At 42.1% G+C, this 22,922-nt stretch overlaps 1 protein-coding gene across 3 annotated transcripts, besides 2 other annotated features; it reads right to left on the bottom strand.

The window, feature by feature from the left end:
* Positions 2,441-2,640: a silencer, noted in NCBI's record as "fragment chrX:133381318-133381517 (GRCh37/hg19 assembly coordinates)". NCBI's record gives its function as "represses an EF-1alpha promoter that drives an FKBP-Casp9 reporter gene in an ReSE screen in K562 erythroleukemia cells {active_cell/tissue: K562}" and the evidence as "EXISTENCE:reporter gene assay evidence [ECO:0000049][PMID:32094911]".
* CCDC160 (coiled-coil domain containing 160) lies at positions 3,086-12,746 on the bottom strand. 3 transcript variants are annotated; one of them, NM_001353453.3, is made up of 3 exons: positions 12,585-12,746; positions 11,088-11,178; positions 3,086-5,151 (listed from the first exon to the last, which is right to left on the bottom strand). In NM_001353453.3, exon 3 carries the CDS (start codon positions 5,125-5,127, stop codon positions 4,150-4,152), a length of 978 nt encoding a protein of 325 aa, NP_001340382.1. In that variant the 5' UTR covers positions 5,128-5,151; positions 11,088-11,178; positions 12,585-12,746; the 3' UTR covers positions 3,086-4,149. The 3 variants fall into 3 exon arrangements, with proteins under 3 accessions (NP_001340382.1, NP_001380925.1, NP_001094827.1); NM_001393996.1 differs by having other exon boundaries at positions 3,721-5,151; positions 11,088-11,149; NM_001101357.3 differs by lacking the exon at positions 11,088-11,178 and having other exon boundaries at positions 3,721-5,151.
* Positions 9,271-9,890: an enhancer, noted in NCBI's record as "NANOG hESC enhancer chrX:133374068-133374687 (GRCh37/hg19 assembly coordinates)". NCBI's record gives its function as "activates a minimal SCP1, AML or CMV promoter by ChIP-STARR-seq in primed H9 embryonic stem cells {active_cell/tissue: H9 hESC(primed)}" and the evidence as "EXISTENCE:reporter gene assay evidence [ECO:0000049][PMID:30033119]".
* Positions 12,747-22,922: the final 10,176 nt, after the last annotated feature.

Genomic DNA, 22,922 nt, shown 5'->3' with positions numbered 1-22,922 from the left:
GCACTTTATATTAGCATTGGTGGTATAGCTCTTACCACATTGTTTTAATTAATTGCATAAGTAAGCTCCTTGAGGTCAGAGACTTGTCTTATTCATAAACCCTTTGATTTCCATATCCCCAGCCTAGCACATACCTTATTTCATCAAATCTAAAACTCCATCAATTGTAAGATACACCATTATTTCATTAATTACTAAGAAAAACAAAACACTGACAATTATTCTATGACATACCATCAATTTGAAGATGAGTCCCAAATTCAGGAAATGTCAAAAATTTTAAAAATGTGTTTTAGAAGGAATGAACTGTGGCAATAAGTGCTCACCAAATGTTTATAGAACTGAATTATTAAACCAAGGTGGAACAGATATTTCCAGAGAACTGTGACAGCCCATGCTTCTTAATAAGTAAGAGATTAGAAGTTGGTGATGAATGGTGTGTGACTGCATTGCTGATTTCAAATATTTTACCCAACAGATTAGTTAAAGGGATGAGTGGCCTGATGTGCCATCCCTGTTAAAAAAAAAAACACAAAAAAAAAACAAAAAAAACCACATAAACACCTGCAAGGGCCAAGCCTGCTGGCTCATGTGTGTAATCCCACTCCTTCAGAAGGCTAAGGCACAGGATTGCTTGAGGCCAGGAGTTTGAAGCCAGCCTGGACAGCATAGTGAGACCCTGTCTCTAAAAATATAAAAAATTAGCCAGGCATGGAAGCAAGCCCCTGTAGTCTCAATTACTCAGGAGGCTGAGGTGGGAGGATTGCTTGAGTCCAGGAGGTCCAGGCTGCAGTGAGCTATTTGTGCCACTGCACTCCAGCCTGGGCAACAAGGCCAGCCCGGGCAACAAGGCCAGCCCCCACCTCTAAAACAACAACAACAACAAAGACACCTCCAGATCTCCCATTTAATATACTAGAAAGTAAAGTGATGATATATTGATTCTAGTTCCTTAAACAAGTTCAACCCACTGCTGTGCTCATCTGCCCATGAAGAGGAATAATAGCACAGCTTTCTCCCAGTTTATTCCTGCCCTGCTTTTATTTTGATGCAATCCCTTCCTAATTCCAAACTGTTGGGTCTGTGACCTTAGCTCCCCTTTCTCCTTGGCCCTCTGAAGTTAGTGATTGTATATATTACCTCCCTGGTTAGTGTCTGGACCTGTGCTTTCCATAGGATCTTTCCACAGGGCAGGCCTTGCTGGGTTTTAGTATTTCAGGCTGTCTCACCAAGAATCTGTATTCTAGTTCCAACCTAGAAATAGAAACCCCACCCCCTGCCCTAGACCTAGTCTAAGCCATACACTTAATGTCTCTGGCCCTCCTTCCACCACTCTTTCCCTGCCCCCAAGCACACATACACACTCATGCAAGATAAACCAAATTGTCACTGAAAACCTTAAATGTATGGTTGGTTCATAGAAATACTCCTGGAATAAAAGTTCCTCTTTGAAAACAGAATTATAGGCCGGGCATGGTGGCTCATGCCTGTAATCCCAGCACTTTGGGAGGCTGAGGTGAGCGGATCCCTTGAGCTCAGGAGTTTGAGACCAGCCTGGCCAACATGGCAAAATCCCATCTCTAATAAAAATACAAAAAAAATTAGCTGCCTGTAATCCCAGCTACTCAGGAAGCTGAGGCATGAGAATTGCTTGAACCTGGGAGGCAGAGGGTACAGTGAGCTGAGATCGTGCCACTGTACTCCAGCCTTGGCAACAGAGCTAGGCTCCGTCTCAAAAAAAAAAAAAAAAAAAGAAAATGGAATTAAAATGGAATTATACTAGCCAGACATGGTGGCATATGCCAGCAGCCCAAGCTACTGGGGAGGATCACTTGAGCCCAGCAGTTTGAGTCCAGCCTGGGCAACACAGCAAGAACCTGTCCCCCTCTCTCTCTTAAAAAAAAATTATATTGAAAGGATTGAGCCTAGTAGCTTAATTAATACATTGTAAAATTTTTAAACATGTAAGCAGCTCTGCACATTAGCATTCAGGGAATGAGCGTCTTATGAGGCAAGTACAAAGGGGCAATCTTATAAGGGGGTGATGAAGAAGAAAGTAAAATAGGGCAACGAGTTCCTAGTTTGCTTTCGTACCTAGACCCTTGGTGGGAAGCCAGTGACCACTAAAAACCTGAAAGTCATCTCCCCCTTTAAGGCAGGCTGCCAGTGCCTGGGTTAGGTTTATCAGGACTAAGTCACAGAGCTCCAAAGATTAGCATCTTCCAATTTACGCCAGTCCTCCCAGGCAAGGCAAGACTTGTTCAGCCTCCAGGTCAGCTTAGTCAGTATCCATTCAGTGCCTTCCCCAACCTTAATGAATAAAGAGGAAACAAGAGAAAGGTAGAGAAACAACCTCTATTGATTTATTATTCATAGTATTTGGAGATGTTCAAACTATATAAAGGACCCTGCTTATATTTTCTTTCAAAGGGAGTCTGCAAAGTAGGTCCCCCAAAGTATTAGAATTGAATGCATCCAGGCCGGGTGCGGTGGCTCACGCCTGTAACCCCAGTACTTTGGGAGGTAGAGATGGGTGGATCACGAGATCAGGAGTTCGAGACCAGCCTGGCCGAGATGGTGAAACCCTGTCTCTACTAAATAAATAAATAAATAAATAAATACATAAATACAAAAAATAGCCGGGTGTAGTGGCAGGCGCCCGTAATCCCAGCTACTCGGGAGGCTAAGGCAGGAGAATCGCTTGAACCCGGAAGGCGGAGGTTGCAGTGAGCCGAGATCGCGCCACTGCACTCTAGCCTGAGCTACAGAGCAAGACTCTGTCTCAAACAAAACAAAACAAAAAAAGAATTGAATGCATCCAATGCCATAGGAGTTTTACTTCCTTACAGGTAGAGTTACACTTGCAAATAAAATCATTGAGGTGAAATCACAGAACATTAGAACTGAACAGAATCTCGATGATAGATCTGTTGCCTTGTTTTATAGATGAGGACTTTTAGGGGAAGAAAGTTAACTAGTTACTGGCAGAGCAGGTACTAGAAGCCAAATGTCCTGACTCCCAGTCTAGGGATTTTCCCAACAGGGAAGACACCTAAACCCTTAAAACAATTGTATCTCATCCTCATAGTGTGCAATTACATTTGGTTTATTAGGCTTTAAAACACCATGCAAATAGAGCTCCTATTACAGGATATCTTGATGACTGATACAAACAAATGGTAAAGAGTCAACTGGCCCATCACTTCCACCCAAGGATTGAGGCAGTACATTTTTACCATGTATAAGTGTAAAATAAATTGTCATCACCTGGAGCCCTTACAGGGCTGGATTACTGTAAAAATCAAGCCAGCTCACTAAAAGTTTATCCAGATGACATCCAACTTCACCACAGTCCCCGCCAACTTGTGATGTAAGCCGGGGAGGAAGCTTCGAAATTTTCCCCTGGTCGAGTTTTGGAAGAACTGTGTAAACAATGCCCCTTACTGGTCAACATAAGAAAACACAAAAGCCACTGCTGGCAAGAGCAGGGCTCTAGCAAAAGGTCACAGCAATGTCTCTAAGTCGTCTTGTAGTCTATGGGAACCGTGGCCAGGTCAAAGGAGAAAGCCTGGGGAAAACAGCAGGGGGAAGAAAAAAACTACATTTTTTTCCAGAGATGTTTATATGTACCGAATTAAAGTTAGACCCCCAAAGTAAGCAGATACATTTTTGGTATCCCATTGAGTTTGAACAGGCAGTTATAAGACCCACAGGCATATGTTAGGCTTATACACATAAACAAGATTTTTATTGTTAACATCAATGAACACAGATGGAAAAATATTCACGTGCCAAAGACATATTTGCTTACGAGATCACAAAATTGCTGATTTGTATTCATAAATGATTTGGTGAATCATTATGTGTTTTTGAGTGAATATATGTGTGTGTGTACACACACACACACACACACACACACACACTCTGATATGAGATTTCCAAAGCTTCGTTTCCATTTGTATTCCTGCAATAACTTCATCAGAAAGAGAAAGCAGAAGCTTGGAAACATGTATATGTTTTATAGATACTGTGATTTACTGAAAATGAAAATAACATCCTATTACATATATTTTAAGTAATACGCAAAGAAAATACAATAAACACTGATTTGGCTCAATGACTTGCCTACTGGAAGGATTTTTTTAAGTTTTAAAAAAAATCCCCAGTAAAGTGGTCAAGGATACTTGATGATGTTACCATTGAAGAAGCATAGTATTTTCTAAGCAACTCCAAGGCTCTGTTATTTCTTGCTTGTAGGGTCTTCTCAGTTCTCAGTTCATTCTTGATGACACTGAGCTCTCCGCGGATCTTTGCCATTTCTAATTCATAATATGATTTCATTTCTTCTTTTAGGAGCACATTTCCAACCTCGGTTTGATGCTTTAACTTCCTAACAGCTTCTTTTAAATTTCTGTTCTCTAGGTTCAATTTGTGGATGACTTCTTTGGCTTGCTGGAGCTGTTCACTTAAGTTTTTTACATTTGTTGCTTTTTCAGACAGGTCATTTCTTAAAGCTTGAAGTTCATAGTCACTTTTTGAAGCATCCGTCTCTGTTTCTTGAAAATTTAGGGGTTTTGTGAATATTTCTTTTTTGTAGTGCAAAAGTTCTTTTTCAGCATTTTCAAATTCCTCTTCTATTTTTCTGTATTTCATATTAAGTTCTTCCAGTTCTTCATTCAAAAGATTCAGGCAAAGTTTTGGAGACATTCTTTCCATAAATTTCTTTCTTATGTCTTGTCTTAGTAGAGCTGGTAAGTTATCTGTACTGCAGGTAGAGTTATCTTCTGTGCTGTTAAAGCTTTCTTCTGTTGTAACATCCACATTAGATGATTCATAGGATGCAGAATTTGTGTCTGTTTCATTCTTTGAAATGTTTCTCTTGTTCTCTCTTAAATTTTGTTCTTGTTCTATTTCATTTAGTTGGAAAATATATTTTTTCCTCTTAAATTTACTTTCTTCCTGAAACTTTCTACTGGACAAATTATAAATTTCTTCCATTCCCTTGCTGCTATCTGCAGTCGTTTGTTCAGAAGAAGATTCAGGCTCAGAAGTCTCTTCTAGAACATCTTGTGCACTAAAAAAAGGAGTAAACATATTCTCCTTCCAGTGTTTTCTTCTAGCATCCATTTCTCCAGGCACCTCTTCCAATATCTGAAAAACAAAATTTAAAACCAAGGCAGGCACATTATTTACACTAGTAGCTAATATAGTAGAAAGAAATAAAAATGCTGGCTCACGGGTGAAGAATCTAAACATTTGAGGGCTGGCTCTCTCTCTAACTCACTGAATGGCTTGGGCCTCAGTCCCCTCATTTATAAATGGAAAGGGCTGAAAGAGCTAAGTTCTACAGATGCTTCCAGCTTTAAAAGTCTCTCATCCTATGAAATAGAACTAGTAAACTGACACATTTAGCTACTTACTGTACACAGAGAAAGTGATTCTATAAGAAAACAACTGTACACATAAAAACAGACTGCTTTAAAATAAAAAAAAGTGATTTGAAATTAATAGGTTAATGTTGGTAATACCTGTGCTTTCAATGTGTCTGATGCCTTTCTAGTTCTTTTGGATTGGACTATTGTTAATTCATTCTTTAAAGTGACTAAAACATCAGGGCTTAATGAAATGTGAGCTGCTTTTGGTAAAGTATACCATGCAGACTTCCTTATGACTAACTCTGCCAAATGCCCTTCTGTCTTGACCTATAAATTCCTGCTATTCCAGTCTTGGGCTTTGCTTTTAGGCAAGACTGCCAAGTGTACAGAATTCTATCCATTTTGACAGCAATTTCATGAGGAGAATCTAATGTCAACAATTGAAAATATTAATGCCACCAAATGTGTTTTTCTCAAGATACTGACTCTGAGTGTAGTTTTTAGGTGAAAATTCAGCATACTAAATCACAACCAACTTTCCAAGTTTATAAAAATATGAGGATGATTATTTTGTTCCAAAAAGAGTCTTCCCTACCCAAAGCTGTACATCCTTAATGTACAGCTTTCCCACAGCACTGAAATATTTGATAAGTGACTACTTCTGAGGGAAGGGAGAAAGAAGAACCAGAGCAGTATGTGGAGGGCCACTGGCACCTGAAGCCACCAACTGGTAGCTGAAGTTAGCCCTAAAGGGTGAGGAGAAGAAGGAGAGGGTCACTTTATTCATTTTATATATTAATTCACCAAAACATATTTGTAGTATCACCATGTAGAAAAATCAAAGTATGCCTGCATCTCTTTTATCTATGCACTCAAATGTAATTTTCTGCTGGTAATGAGAAATGGCAAATGTTGCATTTATTTCTTAATTAATATTTTCTTTGATTATTATAACAATTTTGGAGAACAGAGAAAAGCACAGAAAACAGAAGGAATCTCCTTCATAATCTCATGGCCCTGAGATAACTACTTTTTGGTGTATTATCTTCTCTTTTCTTTTTACAAACAGTAGTTTATTTTTAAATAACACAGGTTTTCCTTACTATGAGCAATGAAGGAATAAACTTGATACCTACAGGTACTGAACATACCTCTCCTCTCCCCTTTTCCCCACAAAAGATGGAAGGGACTCACCATCCCCAAGAGTACATCCCTACTGGCAACTACTTGGCTTTGAGGAAAGGAGAAGGTACATATATTCTTAAGATGAACTATTTGGAGAGTTCAGTGAAGGTACTAAAATGATTGGTCCAAAAGCCAGAAGCCAAGCTTTCTTGAGGTCAATCAGACCACAATGATAAACTCAGACTTTAAATTCACAATATATATTTGCCATTGGAGCATCATCTTCTTTCTTTTGAAACAGTTCTTTCTGACTTTCATTATTCCACGAGTCACCATCCAGAAGCATCATTGATTGATCTGTTCTTAAAGGGAAATATCATTATCTTGGTTTCCCTCATCTCTAGAAATATGAATGCAAATCAGTAGGAATTATTACAGCAATCATAGAGGAAAGGAACAGAGAGAGGAGAAAAGAGGGTGATGTTAATTGCCAGTCACATTTTTTAGCAGTCAAATTTTTACCCAACAATTATATAGATGATAAAAATGCTTCTAATCAGGTAGCAATGGCAGAGAGATTACTATTCCTCTTACTTAATTCTGGATGAAGGGCATTGGTGGGATTGATTAGGAAGGAGGTGAGCACAGGGGCAAGTAAAGTGTGGACACTTTATATCTGGAGATAGCAAGAATATCTCTATCTGAGATAGAGGTCTGGGTATGGATAAAGGTTAAAATAAAAAACTCTTTTCATTAATAATTTTGCTCCTTGAAAAAGTTACTTCTACATCCAACCATCCCATAAATCTCTGGCAAAACACATACACATATGCACACATGCACACACACACACACACACACACTTTTTAATTTTCACTGTCTCTCTTCCCTGAGCCTCTGTATAATTTCCTGGTGTCTGAAAGGAAATGCCTTTCAGTGAAGCCTATATAGCTACTGAAATGGGAAGAGCCCATTTATGACTAAGGCCCAGAGAAGTTAAGTGACTTGACCAAGGCCACACAGCCCATAGTAGTAAAACTGAGGACCCTGTCTCTCAGGTCAGTGCTTGTTCTAAAATTCTTCTTTATTCATCTGCTAGGTTTCATTCCCCATATTGAAAGAAAACAACTCACTATTTTCAGAGCTTAGGTATCTTTTAAAAGGCCACAAAAGAAGAGAGGAAAAGTGAAGGGGGGAGGGTAAGGAGAACTGCATGTCACATTTCAAAGAACAGAAAGAGAAAGGTTTGAAAAGCCTTTTGGAATTTCCCTCCCATGGCTTACACAGGGCAGGGTCAAGCAGTCTCTGAGCTGCTCTTTTTTTTTTCTTCTCTCTTTCATTGGCAAGATATCCTTTAAGGGCTTGTTCCCAAATCTAGTCACAGAATGTGGCAAATCCCAGACTCGGGGTAAAAGCTGCCAGTCTCATTTTCTCTTCACAAATTGTACTGTTTGTTTTTTTATGCAGAACGAGTATGGCATTAGTATTCTCTGGCAAGAACAAGGAATATGCTTTAAGGCAATGACACTCCTCTACCCTGGCCTGGTAGCCATTTTGTTCTCAATAAACTTGACTAGGTAATTTGTTCCAGCATAAGGCAAACCAAACCAGAAGCCATTATTGAAAGTGTAGGCATGCCTGTTAGTGGGTCAGTTGTGGACATTTATTAATATAAGTGCCTACCCAACACTACACTGGATACTGAAGGTCAGAAGGGTAGGGGAAGGAGGCCCAATGGGGATGAAAAACTGGTTTCTTTAGAAGCAAATAATCTAGAACACAGACAGGAAAACAATACAAAGTCATAGGACAAGTAGTCCTCTAAGATAGCAATCCCCCAGAAGCCCTTAGGACTGCACTGTTAAGGCGTATGTGTCTACAATATGACTACATCTATTCATTTGTGTCTGACATGAATTAATAATGGATTCCTGATGGTTCTAGTTAGTGTCTCACTGAAAACATCATCATTTATCCTCAGGTGACTTTTTTTTTTGCAGTGGCAAAGTAATAGGACATTTTTGTGGAGTGAGAGATCTCTTGTCTCATGAAAGTGGTTTGTATTCACCTAAAGAATTTGAGAACCACTGATAAAATAAATTGAATATGAATTTATATATAACATGATGTAACATAAATGTTGAGAGCTAAGCAAAGAACAGTCATTTACAATGGACCTATAGGTGCACTGTTCCATAAAAATCTTAGAGGAATGCACATCTATTCTCAAATAGCTCCATAAAATAATACACTACTGTTTACTCTGAAAGGAGAAATCCACAAACCATCTCAGTTTCATTTTTCAGCTGGGGCCCCAGAGAGTATAATCATATTAAAGCGGATGTGAAATTTAATTATTTGTTTTCTAAAATATTCATATTTTAAATCACAGGCTTTAGGGAAATTTGATGACATAAATCAATTTTTTTTTTCTGTTGCCTTATCCCATTTACACGGGCACAGTGGCTCACATCTGTAATCCCAGTGCTTTGGGAGGCAGAGGCGGAAGGATAACTTGATGTCAGGAGTTCAAAACCAGCCTGGGCAACATAGTGAGATGCGTGTCTACAAAAATTAAAAACAAAATTAGATAGGTGTGGTGGCATATGCCTGTAGTCCTAACTACTCAGGTGGGAGGATTGCTTGAGCTCAGGGGGTTGAGGCTGAAGTGAGCTATGATCATGCCACTGCACTCCAGCCTGGGAAACAGAGCGACACTCTGTCTCCTAAAAAAAAAAAAAAAAAAAAAAAAAAAAAAAAAAAGAATTTGGTTTCAAATTTTCAGGACCATCTCTCTTCACAAATTTAGATCTGCCTGCAAAATTCCATTATTCTTCCAGGCAGAGTAGGTAGGGACTGGAAAACAGTTCTGGAAGAATGCCAAAGGCTCTTTCCCATCTCACAAGGGTCCTTCCTCTCAAACTTTGTAAACTGGGAATGATGGTTGGAAAAGGTCATCTCCAACCCGTGTTGAGTAACCTGTCATTATCCTCAGTCGCTTAGTAGCTCTCAACAAGGGGCATGGCTTTTAGTCACTGCCTAGGGGCAGTAAGGTGAAGACAAAGGGCTCCTCTTAACATAAAGAACTTTCTCCCCTTATTCTTGGATGGTCTGTTCTCTGGACTCTTAGAAAAACTGCTCCACCAAAATAGGAAAAAAATCTGTTACAAAGGAAATCACTAGGTTTGCTTCCTTCTCAACTGTCCAATTTATTCTCACTTCAGAGCAGTGGTTCTCAACCTTTTTTTTCTCTCTTTTTCCTGCTTCCACTGTTTCCAGACACAAAAACACTCCCATCATTACCCTCTTTCCTTAGAAGATTCTGACCTGCCCCCTATAGGGGAGATTCCCCATTCTCCACCCTTTTTCACTGACTTGCAGAAAACCATTAAATACCAAAAGAAGGACCCAAATGAACTGTCTGAAGTTAAGATGGATCAATATGTTTTACCATGCAACATTGTGGGGAAGAAGGAAAAGGAAGTTCCTGAGAAAGGAACTGAGTGTGGACTATGGTGGAAAAAAGACTGAAGGAGTCAGATATCTTGGCCCCCACATTTTAGAACTGCAAGCCTCAGATTCTTCAGGTGTAAAATAGGGACAATATACCTGTTTCACAGGTGATTAAGAAAAATGAATGAAAATGGAAATGAAAGCAACTTTTAAAGTGTACTGTAAACAATGGGTTTTGTTCATTTTCAGGTTTTCCTTACCCTCCCTTTGAACATAAACCAGCCAGTTAAACAACCTAAACTTTCTCCAGAGATATGTACTCCAAAGTGGCCAGCCGGAAGTCATCAGACCTCAGAAAAAGTTAGTTTGAAAAAAAAAGTAGGCACTATTAAAATAAATATAAGGAAGCCTAAACTCCAATCTCAGATTAATTTAATCTGCATCTTCAGGGAAAAATTATCCCTAACTTCTGTAAGTTAGTTGTTGATGTCCCCAAATTTCTGAAGCTGAATTGATTTTATCTAAGCAAAAAAGTGGTAGTCTTTTCTACACCCTAATATATTGGCAATTTAAAATCACCAATTGCTTTACCAAGAGTTTTCCAAATGTCCCACTGTATTTCAGAGGCACCAATAACTTCTCAGAAATACAGGAGTATTCGTTTGAAGATTAGCAAGGATGATTTTGCACTCTGAATTGTTCCTGTGCTTCTGTGGCATTTCACACAGACCTTTATTATACAAATATGCTATGATGGCCTGGCATTGTTACCTGACACATAGTAGCCCTGAATAAATATTTGTTTAATGAATGATCCTTAATATTCTTCCTGAAATCTCTACAATGCTTTGATTCTAATTTAGTTTAAAAAAAATTTTTTTTGACATAATTTCTCCTCTGGCTTAAAAAGTTTTGGGGGATGGTATTTTAGAGAAAGCACTTTTATTTTTCCCTTGAAGTTTATTTGGCTTAGCTGAAGTCTTCAGGACACTTTTCCTTTGTATTTTTATGAGGCCTTCCTGAGAGCTTACTGACAATGCAGACGATCAATTACAAGGCTGAAGAGTTATGTTGCGTAAGGCTCTGTGCTTCTAAACACCCCAAAAAGATAACAGCTAACACGACTGTACTTACACTTCCTGGGGTCCAAGATCTTCTGTCTACTGGATATCTCTGCCCTCCTTCTCCAGTTTGAACTGGAAAAAAGAAAATTCCGCCTCCCTCCCTGTAATCAGGAAATACATTTAACCAGAATGCCCAAACCCGTGTTTATATCTGAGATGTAGATTAAAATGACAAGTGATGGCCAGGCGCGGTGGCTCACGCCTGTAATCCCAGCACTTTGGGAGGCTGAGGCGGGCGGATCACAAGGTCAGGAGTTTGAGACCAGCCTGACCAACATGGCAAAACCCCGTCTCTACTAAAAATACAAAAATTAGCCGGGCGTGGTGGCACGCGCCTGTAATCCCAGCTACTCAGGCGGCTGAGGCAGGAGAATCGCTTGAACCAGGGAGGGGAAGGTTGCAGTGAGCCGAAATTGCGCCACTGCACTCCAGCCTGGGCAACAGAGCAAGACTCCGCCTCAAAAAAAAAAAAAAAAAAAAAAAGACAAGTGATATATTTAGAATGTCATTTGGTCTATCTGAAATGTGATACCAGACACTAAGAGGTAATTTCTCTTTTTGTCAACCCATTTCCCCAACTATTATGCCACTAAGTCTTCCTTCCCCAAGCCATACAGATATCAAATGGGACAAGAATCATGAGGAAATTTTATTCAACACAGTACCTCCTCACTTTTAGCACCTATTGAGCAAAGGAGCCACCCTGGCTTGTTGTTAATGAGCACGCCAGGAACCGCATTAGCAAAAGGCTGGAGCCCAGGCCTTGCCTCCCTCCCTCAGAGTGTAGTTAATTTGAAACAAACAAACAAAAAAACATCGAAAAGGGAAGTCATCCTGATTTTTGCCTTCATCTGTCAGGGTCCTAATATATGGGCCAAAGTGTCCACTTCCCGGGACAAATTGTCTTCTCTATTGCTTGGCAGCTATTGAGGGGGAAGAAAAGTACCATTGAAAACTGGGCCCCGTGAATGCTTATTACTCCCCAGTTCTTTGTTATTAGTGTGAAGTTATTCCTTCTAGAAGAAAAGATACGGGGAGTCACCTTAATTCCGAAGGCTGAGACTTTATTAGTATGAGAGTCACATTCTTGCTACAAAGCTGTATCTTTGTATGCATAGTTTGGGAGTTTTCTCTGTAAATTGTTAACTGAAACTCCTGCCATCGTTGCCTCCCGAGGAGAGAAGGTGGCTCGGGGTCGGGGCGCTGCTTCGGTCCCCATTGCAGGTGACACTTTCCACCTCCCCAGTCCCGACCTAGTCGCTGGCGGGCGGCGGGAGAGGCCTGACCCCACTCCTCTTTCCGCACTGCCACTCCCACGTCCTGGTCCTTTCCCTCCCAAACGCTCTCCAGCCCCGGCCTGGGGCTCTAAGGACAGAAATAACTTGCAGTGGGGGTTGGGGTGCGGACCTGGGCGCCTGCCCCTGGCTCCCCGCCCCTTCGCCCCCTGTGTCCGGGAAGAAGAGGGGCGAGCCCGGGGGAGCCCGGGCTTTCCCGTCCGCAGACATACCTGGAAGCGTGGATGCCGTCTGGAGAGCCCGAACCTCTCTTCCTCAAAGACAACCACCACCCGCGCGCGGCAGCCCCCCGTTCGGCTCTGGCCACCGCGACCCCGCCGGGCCGGCTCCGGGCTGAGCCACCGCAGTGCAGCGCCAGCGCGGGCCGCGCGGTTGCCTAGCAACGAGCCTGCCCGATTTAAAGGGACCCGGACTCCGGACGCGCGCAGGGGGCCGGACGCTGGCGTCCCGCAGTCAAAGCCTGGCCGGAGGACTGAGCATGCCCGGTGAAGCGGGTACCGCGGCGGCTTCTGCCCGGCAAGAAATAGGAGCTCGTGGAAGGAAAGCTGAGTCAGGGTGGGAAGGGGCCAGAAACTGCAAGGCAGCCCCACCCGCAGTGGGATTATTTCGGAGGGTCTGGGTGACTCACAAAGCCACCTGGACACTATGACTGTATGCGGGTCCAGACGGCGTGGCATAGGGTCAGTTCCTAGGTCTGCTGTTATTAGCATGACATGGTGGAGGGTTTGCTCTGGAAGGTTGCCAGGATTTGGTGCAGGGTTGCTAACTATGCAGGAGTTCCACCCCACCCTCCATCCCCACGCACACCCTCACGCATTAGCACAATGGTCTGACTTCTGACCAAGGTTTTAAGGACGTTAGGTCAGGAGAGCATTGTGCCGTGGCTATGCCCCTACGGAAGACTGGGCTTGTATCTCAGAGAGCCCATGGTTTCCTCATTTGCCACTCAGGAATTTCTCTAAACCACTCTTGCACCCTACTTGAATTTAAAACCCATTGGGGGCAACTAGTTCCACACTACTGACAGTGTGAAATTGTTTCCTTTTATTTGTCCCCAAAGTACTGTCTTCCTACTTCAAAGTTTGCTCACAACTTCCAGGATTTGGTTGGGTGACAAGCCCATGCTTTTCACTGTGTTATAGATTTTAAACATTGTATTTTGTTGAATCAATAAATGATCTTCTTAGACTTAGGCCAGGCGCAGTGGCTCACACCTGTAATCCCAGCACTTTGGGAGGCCGAGGTGGGCGGATTACCTGAGGTCAGGAGTTTGAGACCAGCCTGGCCAACATGCTGAAACCCATTTCTACTAAAAGCACAAAAATTAGCCTGGCGTGGTGGTGCACACCTGTAGTCCCAGCTACTCGGGAGGCTAAGGCAGGTGAATTGCTGGAACCTGGGAGGCGTGAGCTGAGATCATGCCACTGCACTCCAGCCTGGGTGACAGAGCGAGACTCCATCTCAAAAAATAAATAAATAGGCCGGGCGCGGTGGCTCATGCCTGTAATCCCAGCAATTTGGGAGGCCGAGGTGGGTGGATCACCTGAGGTCAGGGGTTCGAGACCAGCCTGGCCAACATGGTGAAACCTCATCTCTACTAAAAATTACCAAAAAATTAGCCTGGTGTGGTGGCACACATCTGTAGTCACAGCTACTCGGGAGGCTGAGGCATGAGAATCACTTGACCCTGGGAGGCGGAGGTTGCAGTGAGCCGAGATTGCACCACTGCTCTCCAGCCTGGGTGACAGAGTGAGACTCCATCTCTAAATAAATAAATAAATAAATATCTTCTCAGATTTTGATTAGCCTGGTTGCCCAGTACTAATTCTTCCATCACCACGATGGACTTGACCCAGGCTGTGGGACCTGAAACCGTGGGTCTGGGGTGTCTGAAATAGTAACAAGAGTGATTCTTAGGAAAGCTAGTATTTTCTAGGAAGCATTAGGGTGAAAGGAAATATTGGCTTTGGGATCTCAAGTGAAAGGAGGTTTAAGAATTTTTTAAACGTGCCAGTCTAATTTATCAAGGACCTAGCAAGGGAGTGACTTAGGAACAATACCAGGATACATTTCAAAGCTTCAAAACTTCTTGGGAACCGGATGTAACAGGTGTTTGAGAGCTGGCAAAGCTTCTTCCAGGTGCCCTGAGGCCTAGTTCTCAATCACCTTTTTCCTCCTTAGAGAACCAAAGTCAACAAGGGTTGGAGGTAGGAAGAGTCCTAATGTCAATGTGTGTTTTATTATTGACTGACTCCTTCAGAATTAATTTGTGGGATTCTGACAGAACTTCTTTCCTTGACGTTGAGTCTCCAAATTGCCGTGCATCTTCCATGTATTTTTTTTTTTTTTGAGACAGAGTCTGGAGTGCAGACCCAGGCTAGAGTGCAGTGGTGCGATCTCAGCTCACTGCAACCTCTGCCTTCCCGGTTCAAGTGATTCTCCTGCCCCAGCCTCCAGAGTAGCTAGGACTACAGGCCCGCACCACCATGCCTGGCTCATTTTTAAATTTTTTAATTTTTAGTAGAGAAAGGGTTTCTCCATGTTGGCCAGGCTGAACTTGAACTCCTGACCTCAAGTGATCCGCCCGCCTTGGCCTCCCAAAGTGCTGGGATTACAGCCATGAGTCACCGCACCTGGCCTATCATTTGTTTTAATTATTTTAAAAGGATCCCATTTATTTCTGCTGGAGGTAAGATCCCTTATAATAAAGGAATCTTTCTTAATTGCTCCGTGCCTCACTTTCCTCATTTGTACAATGGGAATACTAATTGGACTTAACTCATGAGTGTTGTGAGGATCAAGTGAGTTAATGTTTTTAAGACCCTTAGAACGGTACTTGACACAGAATAAATCCTATACAACTGTTTGCTATTCTTATTATTATATTGCCTTATACATTCATCACTTTCCTAAAATATAAATACAAACACACTGATGGTGATAATTCAGGGTGTGTTCTGGAAAATGGAGTCAGAAATCTTGAGACCCAGAATTCCAAACCTTTATTTCAGGTAGAGTTTCAGATTCTCACCAAGCAACTCCACACCACCCCCATATTCGTGAATAAAAGGCACAAAGATTACCTTGGTCTTGCCGTAATTATCTTTTTAAATATGGTGGGTCACTCCTTGTACCATCGGTATCAAATGGCAGAGGATCAACAACGATTAGGACAGAGAGTTTTGTTATTCAAAGCTACTGCAGACTTGGAGATAGGTTTTCAAATATGTAAGTCAGAAAACGTTTACTATCCTCTGGAAGATTTACCAATACTAAGGCAACAAAGCACTTGATATTGTATTAATAGAATTATACAGTCATACAATGGAGCCCAACCTTCTCATTTCACCACGTGGGAGACTGAGACTCAGAGAAGTAATGTGATTTTTTTCTTGGATCATGCAGCAAAATAGGCTACTTTTGATTGCCCTGGAAAATGATCCTAGTTTCAGTAGCCTCAAACCTGGGCTATTTGGGGCAATGAAAACATATACATTTATAAGTATGTGTATATATATATATAATATTATATATATATATAATTATATATATATATATTTTTTTTTTTTTTGCGACGGGGTCTCACTCTGTCGCCAAGGCTGAAGTGCAGTGGCGTGATCTCAACTCACTGCAACTTCTGCCTCCCGGGTTCAAGCGGTTCTCCTGCCTCAGCCTCTCAAGAAGCTGGGATTTAAGCGTGTGCCACCACACCTGTCTAATTTTTTGTATTTTTAGTAGAGACGGGGTTTTACCACGTTGGCCAGGCTGGTCTCAAACTCCTGACCTCAGGTGATCCACCCGCCTCAGCCTCCCAAAGTGCTCAGATTACAGACGTGAGCCACTGCACCTGGCCTATAAGCATATATTATATGTGGATAAACTATTTGTGCAGATAATAATAATAGCTAACATTTATCACACCCCACATCCTATACATCAGCAAATTCTGTTGGCCGTACCTTCCTAATATCTGACAGCTTCTCCAGCCTGGGCAACAGAGCAGAATCTGACAGCTTCTCACCATTTCCGCCTTTACCACCCCTCCTCTGGCCCTCATCATCTTTTGACTGGACCTTGCAATAGCCTCCTGCTTCTACACTTGCCCGCTGTATTCTTTTCCTACAGCTGCCATAATGAAGTATCACAAACTGGGTGGCTTAAAGCAACAGACACTTATTCTTTCACAGTTCTGGAGGCCTAGAAGCCCAAAACTAAGGTGGTTTGAAGTGGGTTCCTTCTAGAGGCTCTGAGTGAGAATCTGTCTCTCCTAGCTTCTGGTGGTTGCCAGCAATCCTCAACCCTGCACGGCTTGCAGATGCATCACTCCAATCTCTGCCTCCGTCTTCCCATGGTCTTCTCCCTATGTGTCTGTGTGTCTTCACATGGCCATCCTCCTTCTGTGTGTGTCTGTGTGCCCAAATTCTCCTCCTCTTATAAGCATGCCAGTTGTTGGCCTAGGGCCCACCCTAATCCAATATGACCTCATCTTAACTTGATTGCATCTGTAAAGACCCCCTTTCTTTCTCTTTCTTTCTTTCTTTCTTTCTTTCTTTCTTTCTTTCTTTCTTTCTTTCTTTCTTTCTTTCTCTCTCTCTCTCTCTCTCTCTCTCTCTCTCTCTCTCTCTCTCTTTCTTTCTTTCTTTTTCTTTCTTTCCTTCTTTCTTTCTTTCTTTTTTGACAGAGTCTCACTCTCTGTTGCCCAGGCTGGAGTGCAGTGGCACGATCTCAGCTCACTGCAACCTCCGCCTCCCAGGTTCAAGTGATTCTCCTGCCGCAGCCTCCTGAGTAGCTGGGATTACAGGCACGCACCACCACGCCGGGCTAATTTTTGAATTTTTAGTAGAGACGGGGTTTCACCATGTTGGTCAGGCTGGTCTCGAACTCCTGACCTCATGATCCACCTGCCTCAGCCTCCTAAAGTGCTGGGATTACAGGCGAGAGCCACCGAGCCCGGCCCTGTAAAGACCCTATTTCTAAATAAGGTCACGTTAATAGGTATTGGGGGTTAGGATTTGAACATATCTTTTGGGGGGACACAATTCAACCCACAACACCTGCCCAGCGTCTATTCTCAGCACAGTATCCAGAGAGACCATTACAAAACACTAAGTCAAATCATGTTACAACTCTGCTCAAAAGCCTACAAAGGCTCTCTATTTGATTTACAGTAAAAGCCAAAGCCTTTGTAATAGGCTCTATGGGATTTGCATCAAGAACCCTCTAACTCCACACCCATACCCACAATACCTCTCTGATCTCTCCTACTCCTTTGACCCTTGCTGGTACCACTCAATAACAGTGGCTGCCTTATTGTTCGGAGAATACACAGGCACCCTCCCACCATTAGGGGCTTTGCTCAACCTGTTCCCTTTGCCTTGAATGCTCTTTCCCAAGACATCCACATATCTTACTTCCTTACCTCCCTCAAATCTTTGTTCAAATCCTAGCTTCTTGGTGACACCTACTGCTAACTTATAGCCTCTCCAGCACTCCCACTATTCTTTACCATGCTCTAATTTTTTTAATATAGCACTTATTTTCTAACATACTCCATTATGTTATCTTCTGTTCTTCCTGCACCCCTTGCCTCCAGTCTGCCCTACACTATAAGCTCCAAGAGGGCAGGGATCTTTGATTCGTTCACTGATATATACTAAGCACCAAGCAGACTGCTCGGCACATGGTAGGCACTGAACAGTTAATGAATGAATGGATGAATGGATTAATGAGTTGAGCTCATACCATGTGCCAGGAGTGTTTCATTTAATCTTCACAACAATCTTATGATGTAGGTACTATTATTACAGCCTCCCTTATATCACTTTCTCTTCATTTCTCTGTTCCTATATTTTACAGATGAGAAAACTGAAGCACACGGAGATTAAGTAACCTGCCTAATGTCACACAATTAGTAAGTGGAGCTGGGGTTTGAACTCAGGAAGGTCTGGCTTTGGAGTCTTTCAATGACTATGCAGCATTGACACATAAGAGAGCATCTGACCACTAGTGTCAGGGAGACCTTATATCCCAGCTATGTCTTGTTCTGACATTCACGTTTTCTAACAGCAGGTGATGAATAGTAATAGTTTTCAAACTATTCATGCCATATTTTGCTAAGATGCAGTTTGATGATGTTTATACATTGCATCACACAAACTCTGGAAACTATCTGGGTACAAATACCAGCTCCACTATTTAACTGATATATGTTCTTGAGCAATCTGCTTAGCTTCTCTGTATCCTAGGTTCTTCCTGAATAAATCGGGAGTAATTATAATACCTACTTCACAGGGTGGCTGTAAGGATAAATTAGTTACTACGTGTAAAGCAATTTGAACAGTGCTTGGTAAATAGAAAGTACTCAACAGGTCTTAACTGTTAGTAATAGTAGTCTTCTGTAAGTAACAAATTTTGATCTAGTCTTGCCTATAATATAGAAGTTGTGATACAAATTTACTCCTGATGGGGGCCGGGTGCGGTGGCTCATGCCTGTAATCCCAGCACTTTGGGAGGCCGAGGTGGGCGGATCACCTGAGGTCAGGAGTTCGAGACCAGCCTCAACATGGAGAAACCCCGTCTGTACTAAAAATACAAAATTAGCCAGGTGTGGTGGTGCATGACTCTAATCCCAGCTACTCGGGAGGGTGAGGCAGGAGAATTGCTTGAACACGGGAGGCAGAGGTTGCGGTGAGCCGAGATCGCGCCATTGCAATCCAGCCTGGGCAACGAGAGTGAAACTCCGTCTCAAAATAAATAAATAAATAAAAATAAAAAAAATTTTACCCCGATGTTAGAAGTCGTAATAAAGGTTATCTTGTGGTGGGGTGGGTAGTAACTGGAAAAGAGTACAAGGCAGGTTTAGGGGTTATGGTAATGTTCTATTTCTTTTGGCTTTTTTTTTTTTTTGAGACAGGGTCTCGCTCTGTCACCCAGGCTGGAGTGCAGTGGCACCATCTCGGCTCACTGCAGCCTCCTCCGCCTCCTGGGTTCAAGCGATTCTCATGCCTCAGCCTCCCGAGTAGCTGGGACTACAGGCGTGCACCACCACGTCCAGCTAAGTTTTGTATTTTTAGTAGAGACGTGGTTTCACCATGTTGGCCAGGCTGGTCTCGAACTCCTGACCTCAAGTGATCCACCCGCCTCTGCCTCCCAAAGTGCTGGGATTACAGGCATGAGCCACCACGGCTGGCCGGTAATGTTCTATTTCTTGATGTGGGCATGGTTATGTGGATTTGTTTACTTTGTGAAAAATCATGGAAATGTACACTTAAGTTTCGGACTTTTTTATTTCTTTGTTTATTTGCATACCTCAATACAAATTCGATTTAAAAACAACTGAAGGCAGCCTCCCCCATATCACTTTCTCTTAATTTCTGTATTCCTTTTAAAAAATTTCTCCAAATTCCTGCTTATTCAAGTAACATTTGCTGAGCACCTCAATGTGCCTGGAATTGGACTGAAAGCTAGAAGTATTTAAATAGGCAAATGTAATAAATGCAGTGATGGGTGTATGCACAAATTAAGGAGGGCTCAGAGGAAGGAGTGGTCCATCAGATGGGAAAGGGGCTTGAGTCAAGGAAATCTCAAGCCCCTTGGAAGTTGAATCATCTGAGCTGGGTCTTGAAAGATGAATAGTAGTTCACATATACAAAGGTGGTAAACGCAGAAGGAATAGCACGTGTAAAGGCACAGAAGTACGAAACAGCAAACAGCATGACAGGTTAGAAATCTTTTTTTTTTTTTTTTTGAGACAGAGTCTCACTCTCTCGCTCTGTCACCCAGGCTGGAGTACAGTAGCGTGATCCCTGCTCACTGCAACCTCCGCCTCCCAGGCTCAAGTGATTCTTGTACCTCAGCCTCCTGAGTAGCTGGGATTACAGGCATGTGCTACCACGTCCAGCTAATTTTTTGTATTTTTAGTAGAGACGAGGTTTCACCGTGTTAGCCAGGATGGTCTCAATCTCCTGACCTCATGATCTGCCCGCCTCGGCCTCCCAAAGTCCAGAGATTACAGGTGTGAGCCACTGCACCTGGCCTTGACGGGTTAGAAGTCTTAAACTATTTCAGATTTACTGGAGCTTAAAGTGGAAGGCAGGAGTTAGGAGGGGATTGAGTGAGAGTAAGAGCCCACAGAAAAAGGTGCTACTCGTAGGTGAAGTTATATTTGTTTAACAGATTAAAATATTTGAAAATCCAAATAGATGCATTTATATAGTTGATTTGCCTTACTAAATCATTTGGTTGGATTCAGAAAATACCTATTCATTTATCTACAACACATCAGGTAGTGTGCTAAGTCTGTGCATTCAAAAATTACTAAAATCAGGCTGGCTTGGTGGCTCACACCTGTAATCCCAGCATTTTGGGAGGCTGAAGTAGGAAGATCACTTGAGATCAGCCTGAGCAATAGAGTAAGACCCTAGCTCTACAAAAATTAAAAATAAAAATAAATTTTCCAGGCGTGGTGGCACACGCCTGTAGTCCCAGCTACTCAGGAGGCTGAGCTGGAAGGATTGCTTGAGCCCAGTAGTTTGAGGTTGGAGTAAGCCATGATTGTGCCACTGCATTCCAACCTGAGTGACGGAGGGAGACTTGTCTCTAAAAAATTAAAAATAAAAAAAATAAGAAGATCAACAAACCCAAGCACAATAAATATGAAGAAAATGACACCAAGGCCCATGATAATCAAATTGCTTAAAATCAGTGATAGAGAAAACCTCAAGGCAGCCAGAGGAAAAAACAACACATTATATACATAGGGCAGACATTTCTCATCAGAAAAAATGCAAGCCAGAAGACAGTGGAGCAATATCTTTTTTCTTTTTTTTTTTTTTTTTTTGAGATGGAGTCTTGCTCTGTCGCCCAGGCTGGAGTGCGGTGGTGCAATCTCAGCTCACTGCAACCTCTGCCTCCTGGGTTCAAGCGATTCTGCTGTCTCAGCCCCCTGAGTAACTGGGATTACAGGTGCGTGCCAGCACGCCCAGCTAATTTTTGTATTTTTGGTAGAGACTGGGTTTCGCCATGTTGGCCAGGCTGGTCTCAAACTCCTGACCTCAGGTGATCTGCCAACCTCGGCCTGCCAAAATGCTGGGATTACAGGCATGAGCCACCGCACCTGGCTGGAACATCTTTTAAGAAGTGAAAGTTAAAAAAAAAAAAACTTTCAGCCTAGACTTCTTCACCCAGCAAAACTAAAGCAAAATAAGGACTTTTTCAGGTATGCAAAAGCTGAAAGAATTAGTCATTAGAAGGCCTGCAGTACAAGAAATGTTAAAGGAAGTCCTTCAGTATTGATACCAGATAAAAAATATGGATCTACACTAAGAAATGCAAAGCACTGAAAATGGTAAATATGTGGGTAGGTATAAGGACTTTATTCTTATTGTTTAAATCTCCAAAGATAGTCAACTGTCTAAAGCAAAAATGATTGATATTTTATGAGATTATAACATATGTCAAAATAAAATATACGAGAAAATAGCACAAATGTTGGGAGGGAAGAAATGGAAGTATAATATTGTAAAGTTCTTGCATAATATAAATCACTTGAAGGTAGAATCTAATAAGCAAAGCATGTTTACAGGTAGTGCTCACTTTGCTTGGTTTCAATATGCACAAATTTCAGTTACACAGTTTGGTTAACACCAGTCCCCCAACAACACAGTTCAAATTTTAGTTGCCATAGTATATTAACTGTAATTACATAAAGTACAGAGTTTGTTGCTAGCTCATCAGTTCACAGATAACTACATAAATAACAGATATGCATCATGATCAGTGGCCAATCACATCACTTCATTCAAAGCTTGCCAGCTATTGGTCATTGTGCAGCTGTTATTCAGTTCATGCACAGACAACAAAGCATGTAGATGTTTTGACTCCATGAATCTCAGTGATAAACACAAGTGACATTTTACAAAGATCAATTAAAAAGAGAGAAAACTGGACAACATAGACGAGGTTGCAACAAAGAAATAGAAAGTAAGAATATTGGAAATGAAATTTGAATACAATATATATGGAGTCACAGAATAAATTGTTGATCATGGGAATGTTGACATCATTTCAAAGACTCTAGATATGCAACCAGATGAACCTAAAGAAGAAAAACTCATCAACATAAATGAGGAAAGTGATTGTGGAGAAAGGAATGAAGATGCTCAAGAAGAAGTAATGCCAGGGGGAAAAATCCCTCCACATTAAAGGAACTTTTGGAGACATTTAGTGATATCGAAAGCACGGAGGATAAAATGTTGAAAGTGGATTCAAACTTAGAAAGGACCATGATGGCTGGGTGTGATGGCTCATGCCTGTAATCCCAACACTTTGGGAGACTGAGGCAGGAGGATTGCTTGAGCCCAAGAGTTCAAGAGCAGCCTGGGTAACATAGACCTTGTCTTTACAAAAAAATTTTCAAAATTAGCCAGGTGTGATGGCATGCACCTGTAGTCCCAGCTAGTCAGGAGGCTGAGGCAGGAGGATCTCTTGAACCCACAAGGTTGAGGCTGCAGAGAACTGTGATTGTGCCACTGCACTCCAGCCTGGGCGAC

This window comes from Homo sapiens, chromosome X (genome assembly GCF_000001405.40).
Source record: "Homo sapiens chromosome X, GRCh38.p14 Primary Assembly".
NCBI classification, from domain to species: Eukaryota; Metazoa; Chordata; class Mammalia; order Primates; family Hominidae; genus Homo; species Homo sapiens.
The sequence above is the reverse complement of the archived record's forward strand: the minus strand, read 5'-3'. Positions and strand labels throughout refer to the sequence as shown.

Excerpts from the sequence above, each read along its gene's own strand:
- CCDC160 (NM_001353453.3), bottom strand. The coding sequence starts at position 5,127 with ATGGATGCTAGAAGAAAACACTGGAAGGAGAATATGTTTACTCCTTTT.